This window comes from Homo sapiens, chromosome 10 (assembly GCF_000001405.40).
Source record: "Homo sapiens chromosome 10, GRCh38.p14 Primary Assembly".
Taxonomy (NCBI): Eukaryota; Metazoa; Chordata; class Mammalia; order Primates; family Hominidae; genus Homo; species Homo sapiens.
Genome location: NC_000010.11, coordinates 87,657,463 through 87,672,329, shown reverse-complemented (window position 1 = coordinate 87,672,329; position 14,867 = coordinate 87,657,463). Strand labels below are relative to the sequence as shown.

At 43.3% G+C, this 14,867-nt stretch overlaps 1 protein-coding gene across 2 annotated transcripts in view, besides 1 other annotated feature; it reads right to left on the bottom strand.

The window, feature by feature from the left end:
- Positions 1-12,452, bottom strand: part of PAPSS2 (3'-phosphoadenosine 5'-phosphosulfate synthase 2) — an 87,828-nt gene extending 75,376 nt beyond the window's left edge. For both annotated transcript variants that reach the window (NM_001015880.2, NM_004670.4), the window contains exon 1: positions 12,322-12,452. In NM_001015880.2, the coding sequence (NP_001015880.1) occupies positions 12,322-12,348 (27 nt within the window). In that variant the 5' untranslated portion in view covers positions 12,349-12,452. The remainder of the gene's footprint in view (positions 1-12,321) is intronic.
- Positions 12,465-12,704: a silencer, noted in NCBI's record as "silent region_2583". NCBI's record gives its function as "represses an Ori minimal core promoter by ATAC-STARR-seq in GM12878 lymphoblastoid cells {active_cell/tissue: GM12878}" and the evidence as "EXISTENCE:reporter gene assay evidence [ECO:0000049][PMID:35858748]".

Here is a 14,867-nt window from a genome sequence, read left to right as displayed (position 1 = left end):
GAAGCCATATAATGTTTCACAGCACACAGTTAACTTGGTGCAGTCCAAATAAGAAACCCTTCATACCAAATATCATCCCAATATCCCTGAGCCTCTGTCTGTTCTCAGACAAAACATGGGACTTGGCCACCAAACTTGGCAAACTCAAGTGGTCTCTACTGTTACATGGCCCCACAAGAAGACTGCAGGGAATTTACCTCATTTCTTTATGTTAGTGGCCTAATCTATGATTTGTAATACTTGTAACTACCTAATATGTAGAGCTACTAGGATAATTGATAACAAAGTATGAATAAGTCTTGATGAGCATGATGAAAGAAAGGTATTATGCATGCCCAGAGGAACTCCGCTATAATACAGGGAGGTAGCAATTACCCTTATGGCAATACCACGTGCATAAAATTGAGTCTCCTGAAATGTGTAACTTCAATCAGAAGATGCTCAAAGCCACACAATTACAGTGTTCAACCCAGGTCTCAGCTGCCCCTCCTAACACTAGCCCTGTTGGTGTTCCACTGTAGGCTGTACTTTGCTACCTATCTGTATTTTCTTTATATTTTTTTCTCAATTGGTTCTGGTTATTAGGCTGTGTATATAAAACAATCTCCCTGAACCACGAAATATTAACATTCTGTGCTGAGCAATGGAAATGCTGATGAAACCTCTAGTACATCCAGAGAACAGGCCCATAGCCTGTGGGGCTTTGGGAACTTGTAACTCATGAATGCTCGACTGTGCAGCACTCACATAATGGACAAGGCTGGGTGTAGAGTTATGTGTAAGTCACTGCAATTATTTCTAAAATCACTTATTCTTGAGTGTATGCATTCACCCACTAGAACACTGAAGCCTTGTATTCTTAAGGTGAAATGTTGGGTTCAATTCCAAAGACTACTGTTCCTAAAACTGGCCACAGAGCCTCATCCAAACTAACATTTATTGCCTTTTAACAGCATTTGCTAAAATCTACATCTTCTAAAGATTACACAACATTACAAAAAGCCCCTAAGGAAATCCCTTTCAAAGCGCCTGCATCATCCTTTTAGTCTGCAAAGACAAAATTAAAATGCATGTTTAAATAATCAAAAGATCCTTTTGCATTCTCACAGTCATAGTATCCATTATATGTTATTTTAACTGAAGAAAAAAAAAAGAATGATTGAAAACATGGCACTTGTGTTCCAGCTCTGCCACTTAGGGTTATGCATCCTGAGGCAAGTTACTTAGTCTCTACAAGCTCAGAGTTCCCTACTGTAAAGCAGGGATAAGAACTACTTCATAGGTTATTGTGAGGATGAGATGGGATACTGTATGGATAGTCCCTGGATAAATGCTTGTTCCCTTCTTCTATTTGGGGAACCCTGTTGGGTACACAAGGTGCCTTCCTGAATCCCAAGGGATGTTATTATGACAACAAGGATTAATAACACAGTGTGATGTGTAAGAGACTTTTTGAGTCACAGCCTCAACACTGAGAAGAAAATGGAAGAAACTGGGTATTTTTGATGACCCAGATTTTTCCATTCCCTAAATGTGACTAACTGTGCAGAGACAACACATCCTTTAGACAGAATTTTGTATCCCACTGTGAAGACACAAATTCTGTGATTCAACTTCTATGCAGTCACCATGATTCTTTTTATTTAAATAATGCAGCTCCTCTCCAGTAAAAGACTTCAATTTCATCCCCTGAAATACACCCAGCCAATGCTGCTCTCCTCAGCATGAGTGTGTGTGTGTGTGTGTGTGTGTGCTCCATCTTTTTATGCAATCATCTCCTGAGAATGGGAATATGAACCTTCCTAGTACCTATCGCTGAAACACTAGCCCAGGATTGCTGAAAAACTTGGACTTCCCTTACCTATGTGTTAGAAGGAGACAACGCTCCCTAATTTTTCTTCCAAACACCAAGGAACATACCTTTTACAATCCCATGATTTCTAGGCACTCCTCATTGATCGGTTGACAACATCCTTAAGCGTCGACCTTGAACTGGGTCAAATTTTTATGTGAAAAATGCACTGGTGTTCTACTTTCTTTTTTATTATCTACAAATCATATTAATATTACAACTTGGTTCAAGTATTGCAGCTAGTGGAAACAAATTATTCTGTTCACGTTTGCTGAATACTGACATAGCCGTAAGGCTAGGCAATAAAAACTATTACCCATACAGGTTGAGTCTGAGAACAAATAAAATTTATTTTCCAATTATTCACCTTATGTTACCATAAAGAAAGAAATGCGTGTGATAGTGAGGGTAACATGTATTTGCCAATTTATGCCACTTACTCTTTTTTAATAAAAGTGCTGGGGAATGCTTCTCAATAGAATTCATTATTATTATCTTGAGATACTAGCAGTAGACAGCTGCCAGAATATTTTACAAATGAAGCAGTAATACATTACTAGTTACCTAATCTAGCTGTGTTGGCTACATGGCATGAAGTGTCATTGCCTCTATGAAATAAACATCTTATTAACTACAGAGAAGCTAATAAGATTCTAACTTCTCCTTTGGGTAACTCTTTAAAGACCCATTTCAGTTAAATGAGTTCCCTTTGGACTATTTATTCACAAACTTGCTTCGCGAGATGGTGAAGAGTCAATGAGTTAACCTACAGGTCAGTGCTCAATAAATCGTGGCAATGAACAGAATACAACAGAGTAGGAATTTTCTAACAACACATGCTCTAAAAAAAGAAACTTCAGATAAATAACGCACATTCCACAATCGGAATTTTAATGTCTAGGCTTTATTTGATGTCTTCTTATTCTGTTGGCTAACTTAAAGGTCAAATGAAAAATTATTTTAGTTATGATTTGGTTATTTTTTAGTAACTACTCAAAACATTGTTGTACTAGTGACCCAATGGCCCAAGAGCCATAATTACTCATATACTTTAGGAAAACACTCTCTATTGGGAGTCAGCAATTTAGGTCCTGGGAAGACCACACATGGTTACTGTAATCGACTTCATAGTACTTTGCGAACTGAGGAAGCAATGGAAATGGATAGATTTAGAGGTAAAACTGAACTGAGGCTTTGGCGTATAACTGAACTTGGTCCAGCCTTTACCAAATACAACTTTTTCTGCATTGCATGCTATCTAATCAATGGCATCCCTTTTTTTAATAAAACAATTAAACCACTTGAGAAGGTTTAAGGAAGACTGAGTGAGGTGGGAAAGGGTTGAATTTTCTAAAGAGAAACAGTCCGGCCAATCAAAAATATTTCAAAACGGTCAAGTTACATCTTTCAAATACTGCTTTTTGGTCTGTATTTTCTGTCCCCAGAATGCCACAACAAAATGCTAAAGCTAAGTCAGAATGTAATAAACCAACTGGGAGGAAGTTTTGTTTATGGAAAATATTTCTTGTTGAATGAAAGAGGAAATAAAGCTGTAGAAAATAGGCAGGGTCACTTTCAAAGAGCACGTGATAAAGAGAGAAGTGGTAAGCGTGTGGTAGGGTGATCAGAGTTCTAGCTTAGTGGAAGTATCCCCACCCAGTCAAGCCAAAGAATGGCCATAGATCCTGGCACAGCTCTTAACGCTGTATATCAACTGTCATATAAAGAGCTTAAAGGTGACCTCCTAATTTTCCTTCCAGAAGTAAAATACTAGAATTATTTTTAAACACACACACACACACACACACACACACACACATTTTTAAAGTAGAGACAGCCTTAATATAGAGTAAATAATGTTCAACTTAGTAGAAAAATGAATGAGGAAATGTAAGAAAAGTCAATTGGGAATTTTATTGCTTTTAGCTCAAGGCCACTGCAAGACTTACTGGGCAGAACGTTGATAATATAAAGGTGCGGGTGGAGTGCTTCAATTAGAAAAGGCAAATGCTGTGTTTAGAATAGACTTAAAGACAGTGAATAGACTAAAAACTATAATTAAAGAATATAAGGCTTTGGTAGCTATTGTTAATTATGACAAATAGAGATCCTGGTTTGGTCATTCAATAAATATTGTTGAGTGAGTGAGGTAAACAAATATATACGTGAGGATTTTGACAGGAACTGAAAAAGGAAAGGATTTTAGAGAGCTTAAGGAAACAAAGTAATACACATGGGACCCCCAGCAGAGGGCCAAAAAGTTAATTCAGGTTTTTAACACTAGCAAATGTATGAAAATAAAATCATCACTAATGCTTGAGTTGCTTACTTTGCTGGAAATTGGGAAGGCATGAATTATTCATAAATTAATAATGACTGGAGGAGGGTGTAGAAGAATAAAGTTTATAGGGATAGAATCTCGGATTTTCTTCCAGGTAGTTTAAATCCATAAAGTCTACAAATGTCTTTAAAAGCACACACCCAACATAAAATTGTTTTAAAAAAGTAATTGTGGTATGAGACTGGATATAGATGCTTGGTGGATAAAAATCAATACTTTTCATAATAAATCAATAATAAAACATAAAGCAGGTGTTAACTAGACATTTAAACCAAATATTGACTAGCAGAGAAATTATCACTATGAATGATGCAGCATTTGACATAATATATTTATGTAACTGTTTTAAAAAATCTTTATTGTCACAGGCTATATGCATTTATTGCCAAAAGTTAATATTTGATGGTATACAGATTGAGTTTGTCATGTTTATATTACAGTCGTGCTTGCACAATATCAATTACAGCAAAATCAACTTCAGTAGTAAATTTGAAATGCAGAAAGGGATGCTGATAAGATTTTAAAGGAAGTCACATCAGTCAACTGATGGAATCCATTTTATACACCACGTGTCATCAGAGGCAACTTATATTTCAAGTTTTAATACAGTGGCTCTTTTGTACAGAGAAAAAATATTTTCATCTTGTGCACCAATTTATTGTTTGTTTGTTTTGTTGAGGTTTTTTGAGACAGGGTCTCACTCTGTCACCCAGGCTGGAGTGTAATGGCATGATCATGGCTGACTGCAGCCTTGACCTCCAGTACTGGGGCGATCCCACCTCAGCCTCCTAGATAGCTGGGACTACAGGCCCGCGCCACCACACTTGGCTAATTTTTTGCATTTTTGTAGAGACAAGGTTTTGCCATGTTGCCCAGGCTGGTCTCAAACTCCTGCGCTCAAGTGATCCGCCCACCTCAGCCTCTCAAAGTGCTGGGATTACAGGCATGAGCCACCACACCCAGCCAATTTATTGTAAATTTTTCAAAAATGTGGTGATCAAAAAGACAGGAAAAAGGAACAAGAAGACAAAATTTATAACAAATTCAATGCTTATGATAAACCAATTAACCTTTTGGGAAAGCTTTAATCTTTATTAAAAGAGAAGCAAAGCAAGCTTGGGTACCAGTCTGAGTCTGAAACAGGGAGTAGTGTCCTGCCCCTGGTGCTGAGCTTGGGGAAGAGGGAGGCCAAATAGCCCTGGGGGCTCTGAAAGCAGAGGGCATTGGATGTGCTTCTGATCTCAGAGGAAAAGAGGGTGGGTTTCAGCAGCCCCCAGAGCTCCTCCAAGTCCCTGCATGGTCACAGCAAAGTAGGAACCTAGTTCCTACACTCCTGGGAGTAGTGGGGACATGTCAAGGACCTTAACTAGTCCCACCAAATTCATACCCCACGACCTCAGAGTTGTGCTGGAGCAACAAAACGGCCTCAGGGTACCCAGGAGAGCATGAAAGAAGTAAGGAGAGTTGTTTAAATTGAAGGGGCCTTTCAGACAAGAACGCACTTGAAATTGGACCAACACTAAGGATTGGACAGGACAATGCACATCTCTAAGGATGTCTGCATAGGAAGAGACCACCAAGACAAGGTGAGCACTCCCCACTCCACACTGTAGCACATCCTAGGGAAAAAGGATTAAATCAAAGATTTTTGACTAGCTATCTGACTAGAGTTCATGTTTAAAAAGTACTCCTTTTATGACAGCGACACAGGTCTGGTAAGGTATGATAGGAGATGTTAATGATTCACAGGAATCTAGAAAGGGTAGAGGTCTCTGTTTCCAGCAGTGATGGGTAGGTTATTCAGATTGATGCTTCCACTGAAAATAACTATAAATGCTAGTAATAACATAAAATAATCAAATTTAAAACAACAGGATGAGCATGGTGGCTCATGCCTGTAATCCCAGCACTCTGGGAGGCCAAGGCAGACAGATCACTTGAGGTCAGGAGTTCAAGACCAGTCTGGCCAACATGGTGAAAACCCGTCTCAACTAAAAATACAAAAATTAGCCGGGTGTGGTGGTGCACACCTGTAACCCCAGCTACTAGGGAGGCCGAGGCGTGAGAATCGCTTGAACTTGGGAGGTGGAGGTTGCAATGAGCCAAGATCACGCCAACAGCACTTGAGCCTGGGTGACAGAGCAAGACTCCATCTAAAAAAAAAAAAAGAAAAAAAAATTAAAACAACAAATAGCTGACAAAATAGGAAGAAACTACTAGGCCAAAATCTGGAAGAAAGCAAGAACTCAAAGAGATAAGTAAGCAGAGAGGCACTTTTATCCTTATGGGGCATATTTGCTGAGAGGAGCATACATGAACTGATTTTGACAGCTTCACTGAGAGAGGTGGAACAGAAATTAAAGCCCAGAACCCACTCAAGTGAAAATAAAAAAAGGTCTTCCTCAAGTTAAGCTGGGCTCCTAAACCCTACACTCTAAAAATAAGGGTGAACCAGAATAAACCTACCTCCCACTCAGAGAGACGGCAAGGACAATTGTCTTGGCATAGAAAGTGAGTATAAAAGGGGAGGGTGGTCCCTGGGAAGTTGTATTCACAAGCTGGCTCTCATGTGCAAAATAGCAATCCAAATTCACATCACCTAAGTCTTTAAAAAGTGGTAAATTCAGGCCGGGCACGGTGGCTCACGCCTGTAATCCCAGCACTTTGGGAGGCCGAGGCGGGCAGATCACGAGGTCAGGAGATCAAAACCATCCTGGTTAACGCGGTGAAACCCCGTCTCTACTAAAAATACAAAAAGTTAGCCGGGCGTGGTGGCAGGCACCTGTAGTTCCAGCTACTCGGGAGGCTGAGGCAGAAGAATGGCGTGAACCCGGAAGGCGGAACTTGCAGTGAGCTGAGATCACGCCACTGCACTCCAGCCTGGGTGACAGTGCGAGACTCTGTCTCCAAAAAAAAAAAAAGTGGTAAATTCAATTAAAGGAGTCCTAGGCTAGGAGTGGGGCCAGACACCTGGCAGAAACAAAAGCAAATCCTCTCTGAAAACAAAGTCATTCATCCTAGGCCTGAAGGAATCTCTACAAGCAATTTTTCAGCAGTAATGACAAATACCCAGTCAAAAATAACCAAGCACACAAAGAGAAGAGGGGAGAGTGAGGAATCTAGGAAAAAATGTGGATCCTAAGAGCAAATACATCCTCTAATGAATTCTCTAGCCATTTACTCATTCATTTATTCAATGAATATTGAACACCTAATCTGTGCCAGGATCACTGTCAGGTGCTGGGCATATAAGCTGTTCCAAGTGTCATATGAACAAATCACCTAGGGGCTAATAGAACAGTTGAACTAGTGTTATATTTATGTTTATTTACCTTTAGTTTCTGCATTTTCCTAAGACTTCCAAACACAAAGACTAATGAGTGCCCATTACTATTTAGTGATAGATTTTGAAATAAACAGAAATCTCCTAGGACTGAGATTGACATCATTGATGCCTTTCCCAGACTCTAATTCCCTAAAAGTTCCATGTTAGAGGTAAGCCTAATTATCCCCTCAGCAAACCACAGAGCCACATGCATCAACAGAAAAGTGATAAAAGACAAAGATAACTATCTCAAAGAGACATATAACTGAGTTAACCACATTTATCTTTTAACCGCACCAAAGTCCAAACAGATGATCTAATAAATGGCGATGGCATGAATTGGGAAACACTAATTTTAAGGTGCACATAGGAATAGTTGAAGGCACAGGAAGGGTGGAGAGAAGTTAGTCCAATATTTACTCTATGCATGGATTATCTTTCTTGGCCAAAGTTGTTGGCAAAAACTCACTGATACTCTGGTACCTCTACCAGAGGTCAACCAGTGTCTTCTATCCAGCCTATCACAATAAGAATTCAAATTGTCACCTCTATATTTCTGCATTTGTTTTTCCTTATTAAATATTCTGGCTGGCCAAGCACAGTGGCTCAAGCCTGCAATCCTAATACTTCGGGAGGCCAAGGCAGGAGGATCTCTTCAGCTCAGGAGTTCAAGACTGGCCAGAGCAACAGAGTGAGACCTCATCTCTACCAAAACAACAACAACAAAAACTTTAAAAGTTAGCCAGGCATGATGGTGTGCACCTGTAGTACTAGGTACTTGGGAGGCTGAGGCAGGAGGATCACTTGAGCCCAGGAGGTCGAGACTGCAGTGACCCATTATAGCAGCACTGCACTCCAGCCTGTCTCAAAACAAAACAAAAATATTCTGGCTGTTGTCATTTACTGAGTCTTCAAAACAGTATGATGTGTGCTGTTTTTTCTTTTTATGTATGCCAAACCATGACAGTATAGTTTAATACAAATGAAATAGCTACTGCATATGAAGCACTAACTCTGGGTCTGGCACTGAGCAAGACAATTTTTAGGAGTTACTTACTTTTCACGACAATTGTAAGGGGAAAGTTATTATTACCCACATTTTACAGATGAGAAAACTTTGGGCCAGAGCAGTTACATCCTGAAACAGAAGTACGGAGGGGGTCAAGAGCATGAGTTTTGAAGCTGGACAGACCTGAATTTCAGTAGTGCCCTGCCCCTGGTATTTCTCCTCCCCTGAAGACAAAGCTGTTTCCTGAGATGAGAGCTACTGTGGGGATGAGATGTCTGAGTGTCTGGCCTCTAGGAAATGCTTTTTGTCCCTCCTTCCAGTAGTTGCTCATCTAGAATTCATGTCTTGCCTTCGGTAGTGTCTTTATATAGTTTTAAAAGTAATTACTTCTGGCTGGGGGCAGTGGCTCAAGCCTGCAATCCCAGCACTTTGGAAGGTCAAGGTGGGTGAATCACCTGAGGTCAGGAGTTCGAGACCAGCCTGACCAACGTGGCAAAACCCCGTCTCTACTAAAAATACAAAAATTAGCTGGGCGTGGTGGTACACACCAGTAGTGCCAGCTACTCGGGAGGCTGAGGCAGGAGAATTGCTTGAACTCGGGAGGCGGAGGTTGCAGTGAGACGAGATCGCTTCTCTGCACTCCAGCCTGGGTGACAGAGCGAGACTCCATCTCAAAAAAAAAAAAAAAAAAAAAAAGTGGCTACTTCTAGAAAAATAATGTTATACTGTGCACAATTCTGAAAATAAGGAAAAGGTAATTAGCAGGGCATGATGGTGGTGCCTGTAATCCCAGCTACTTGGGAGGCTGGGGCAAGAGAATGGCTTGAACCCGGGAGGCGGAGGTTGCAGTGAGCTGAGATCATGCCACGCTACTGCACTCCAGCCTGGGTGACAGAGTGAGACTCTGTCTCAAAAAAAAAAAGAAAGAAAGAAAATAAATAAGGAAAAGGTTGATAATCCCTTACATCTATGGAGAGCGCTGTGGTTTTCAGTATCTTTTCACTCCTTTCCAATTGTTTTCCTATTTGATCCTTCGGAAATAACTTAATATCTCAGTCAATGTTTTCAGATTGGGTGTCTCCAGAACATAACAGCACTGTCTGTGGGCCTTGAAAAATGTTAATCCAGGAAATGATGTAAGAGGAAAGGCCCAGGCCTTTGCCTTCCCTTCTTTCCAGTCCCCTAGAGGCAGTCTGTCCCTTTCCCTCTCCTAGGTGTCTATGTGTGTGTATAGGGGGTGGGGGTGGGAGGGTAGCCAGGGTTGGAGGTAAGTGAGGGGTGGAAATGATGAAGGGATGAATGTGACTGGTAGCTGTTTCTTTGGTTTCCATGGTAAAGATGCATAAAACAGAAGGAATGTGCTACCTTCCTTTATAAAAGAACACTTAATTTATTTTTTCTAAAGCTTATGAAAAAGTCATCCTACACTCTCTCATTTAAACCAAAACTATCTCCTCTTCCTAGAGTGGTCTGAACTGAAAGGCAATATTCATCCAGAGAGTGTGGCCAAAAAAACCTGGAAAAGAGGTATCTCCTTTTCCGCCTCCCCCACCCAGTATACCACCTGGCATACAGTAGGTGCTCAACAAATATTTGAAGTTACTGTAGTGGCTGCTGTGTGAATTAACTGTCCTCTGTTGACAGTGCAGTAAACAATGTGATGATTCCTATAAGACCGTAAAAGATCAGCTCAGTCTCACTCCTAGGCTAGCTTGTGAGGTCAGCAATACTTATCAAACAATTGATTAGTTCAGAGGTCACACAAGCGGACAGATTTTGCTTTGGCCTGCAAGGTTTCAAAACACATTTTGAATGAACATTCAAAGCTTGAGAGATTCCACATGCATTTACAGCTGGCTTGCTGTAAATAGTACCGATAGTACCTATCTAGCCCTTTTGGGAACTTGGGTTGGTGCCTGGGTTATAACTGCGTTAGACTAAATCAAAATTCAGAAAAGTTCTATTTCAGTTAGCTGTTTCAGGAGTTAATTTAATGCTGTATAAAACAGACACACACATACACCCACCTAACAAAAAATAGAAGGTTCAGAATGTGTAAATACAAAAACCAAACCCTCCGGCCCTCAAATTTCTCACTGCTTCTGACTGTGCAGAGCCCCCGCAATTGATTTGTAATGACCCTGTTCTCAAACCCTCCTCTTCCTGGGCTCCTGCCGACTGGAGGCATCAAGAGGAGAGACCACCTCGTCCCTTTCTAATGCTTGACAAAGTCCCCCATCACAACTGAGAAGGAATTCTTGATGCAAGCAGGAAGGTGGGAATTAAAACCCCACTGATATAAAAAGCTACTGGCACAGCGGCTTGCCATTTAGAAGACACTATTTAGGATTTTACAGAAATTAATCGCATTAAATAGGAACAAAATACAAGTGATTTTCATTTATTATTTCAAAAATATGTTACAACGCTGAGAGTCCCCCACTTAAAAATTACTCCTGAGAAAGGCAGCTGGATTTTGATAAATGTCCCTTCCCAAATTGATGCCACCTACACCCTGGACCCTCCTGCTGGTCCAGTATGGTCCCTGGAGCCACAGAGCCCCCACCCTGTTCTCTTGCTGCTCAAATGACCCTTCTAGCCCTGCATGGCCCCTCCACACTCCTTCCCCACTTCTTGGCTTTATATTTTGTTTTTTTTTTTAAACCTCTCCCCGGCCCACCACAAATACACCTCAAAGATATTTCGGTAATACACATTATATAAGAATAAACATTTATCAGGCACCTACTATGTGTCCATTGCACGTCTATCTACTAGAGAGAGGTCAACCCATTCAGTAACCAGTACAATCATCTGAGGCTTGCAGGGTGGTGGCTGAAGATAGAATGTTCAGCGGCCAAACTGCTGAGTAGGATTTTATCAAGGCTTGCTGACCACATCTGACGTGGCCCCAGTGCTGTCTAGAAGGCGCCATCCAACTCTAAGAGTCTATGATTACTGCTCCCGGTTTTTTTTTTTTTTTTTTTTTTTTTTTTTTCAGTTTATTGGGGTATAATTGACAAATAGAACTGCTGCCATTTTTAAGAATGCAAAATTTATAGGTGCCCATGTTGCTGGGAAAGAAACTTTTCTCTTTGACACGCCCTCATATTTCCCATTAAAGGAGGACAGCTCAGATTATTAATTCTGGGTAAAAGTGTGCCTCCTCAACACAGTCCCCTCATCTTACTCCACCAAACCGAGGGGCACCCTCACCCCTCATTACTGAACTCGAGATGCCACCCAATGCCGAAATCAAGCTAGAGGGCTAAATCCCGCCAGTGTAGAAATGCAATTTCCTCCAGTTTGCTTTGATAATTGCAGTTTCCTCTATGAAAGTCCGTCATTAAAGCCCACTCCAAGGAAGTTCCCATAGACAAAACCCCAGCGACCAGACCTGGCAGAACGGGAGTCAGCTCGATCTGCTCCGAGACCCTACAGAAGAAAAGGCGGGTCTGGAAGAGCTCTTGGGAAAGAAAGGGGATTTCCTGTCCCTGGTCCTGGATCTAGATCCGGACCCACTTGAGAAGCTCGGGAGGTCTCTCGCGGGCGCGGCGACCCCAAGGAGCGCAGATTCCCAGAGTCGCGGGGTGGAGAGGGGCTGCGGGGCGAGGACTGCCCCGGGAATTCCACACAGAGCCTCTTTCTCTTGCTTCCCTCCGTGCCCCACTCTTACTCCTCCTCCCGACGCCCCCTCCCGGGGAGGGTGGGACCCAAGTGCCGGGGAATTGGGGGTTGGGGGTCGGCGCGTGCAGTGCGGTGGCGGGGAGGGAAGCCGGCGCCTGGAAGCCTACCGTCTTTTGCTTCTTGATCCCCGACATGCTGGCTGGCTGCGGCGGAGCCCGGGTCCCGGGAGCAGAGACCGAAGGACGCAGGGACGGCGGCGGCGGCGGCGGCAGCAGCAGCAGCAGCAGCAGCAGCGGCTGCCGGACTCCCGGGAAGGAGGTATAAAAAGGCTCCGCAGACACGTCGCACTTCCCTTGACCAGCCCCCTTCTCCTACTCCTCCTCCCGCCACGCTCCTCTCCGCCCCGTCGGTTCCGCAAGCAGCGCCCAGCCTTGGGGACCCGGCCGCCGCCGCCTAGGCGGGGTCCCCGGCCCGGCCCCTACTCGCGGGCGCGCGCTCCGCCAGCCCCGGTCCCGGGCGAGACCTTGCAGCGGAGCGGCAGATGGCACGCCCGGCACGCGGCCTGGGGTCAAGTTCACCCCGCCCGCCCCACCCCCAGAGGGTCCCAGAGCGTCCTCCACTCCCCTCACCAGCCTCCCGCGCCTCTTCAAGGAAGTCTTCCTGCCTCTAGGACCTAAGAGCTTATTTGGTTAAGGGCAAGGATGCTTGAAGCCGCCAGGTTTGTTGGCAGGATCCTCATATGCAGTAGTAAAAACGAAGGTTCACACTCATGGATCCTTACAATGCACTCCGCTGGGCTCTGCCTTAATTCTCATGGGCCCCCTCCATCCTGCCCCGACCCCGGGCAGCAAGTCCTACTATCTTCCAGTTTTACAAACGAGCAATTGAGGCTTTCAGACTTTGCCAAGATTATATTCCAAATGAGGGGATTCAAACCCAGGCTGACAGCCTCCTCAGTGCAGGCTTTCTTCACCAGCATCATCACACATGGTGATAACTCCCAAGGTTCACAGCTTGTCTGTTCACTATGCATCGTGCTGAGGGGCTTCCATGCACTTCCTCCATTCCCGCTCACAACAGTATCGTCAGGTTACAGGTATGGGCCTGTGGAGGCACGGCCCCTCCTCACAACGACAAGCAAGTGGCAATGGCCAATGGAAGCCCAGCAACTTGTTTCAGTCCACCCCCAAAGTAGCACTTCTGTTCCACTGGAATGGGCCCTGAGGAGGAGGAAAAGGAGGCACAAGATGAGCAGGCTTAGGCCTAGGGCGCCAAGATTTTACCAGAAGGCAGTATGGGGCAACCCTCTGAACGAACCCAAAGGCAGTATGGGGCAACCCTCTGAACGAACCCAAATGTCAAGGCCAAGTAGAGGTGAGGGAGAGAAGCTCTAGTGACAAGCACTTTGGGGGCAGTCACTGGGTCTCACACCCCTTGTACCTTAACTGACTCCTTGTGTAATGCTACAAACGGATGGATATGACCATACTCTCAAAAGAAGTAACGTAACACACAAGGGCCACACTTCTCATTCCCACTCTAGTGTTCCTGCTGTGAAAGAGTTGGAGTAATATTCTATGGAGGTGAGGGATGGGACTTTTCTTTCATACCTAATTGTATTTCTGGAAGACTGCCAGCTTTCCAGACAGACACTTGATCTGAGTATTCATTGACTGCCCTTCGCCGTGGGAAGGTGGGAAAGAAAAATAAATCAGGAGTCAGAAACGTAAAAGGCAGCCTGCATGTCTGTACAGTCTAGAGTTGTAAGCTGATTTATTTTCTTACTCATTTTGAGTAAACTGCCACCACTGCCTTCCAATGTAAGCAGCTAGGGGCAAATACTGAGTTTGAGTTTCTGTTCTGCATACAAACTAGCACATTTTAAATGTATATGAAGTTTAAATAGCAACATCCTATTCTTATTTCATTGGAAAAATCCTTTTATATTAGTTTCCACCATATCTTAGACTCTGCCAGATCTTGCCCTAAGAAAAGGTAAAGTAAATGTGAATTGAAAAATAGCAATTTGCGGCCTGGCACGGTGGCTCATGCCTGTAATCCCAGCACTTTGGGAGGCCGAGGCAGTCAGATCACCTGGTATCAGGAGTTCGAGACTAGACTGACCAACATGATGAAACCCTGTCTCTAATAAAAATACAAAATTAGCCAGATGTGATGGCATATGCCTGTAATCCCGGCTACTTGGGAGGCTGAGGCAGGAGAATCGCTTGAACCCGGGAGGCAGAGATTGCAGTGAGCCGAGATTGCGCCATTGCACTCCAGCCTGAGTAACAAGAGTGAAACTCCATCTCAAAAAAAAAAAAAGAAAAATAGCAATTTGCGTGATTGTTATTTTGTTTTTATATTGCATCTAAAAACAAAAAGCTGTCTTCTTGAAACAGGAAGTTAAGGACAAATACGTAAGCTACTTCCTGGAAAAGAAATATATGATTGTTTAGATCTGGGAGAGGTTGTGAGATCATTTGTCCAATTTCCCCATTCCTGTATTTTACATATGAGCAATGTAAAACTGGCGCTTAGGGAAGGGAGGGCATCTGACCGTAGTCACTAGTTAGGAGCAGAGCTGAGGCTTTAACGCAGGTCAGCCTGACTTCCCAAGTGCTCTGACCCCAAATGTCCTGCCCACTGAGTCACCCAACTTCCACGCCAACTATTTCAATACCCCATGATAACTGTAAACAGGACTGCTTAT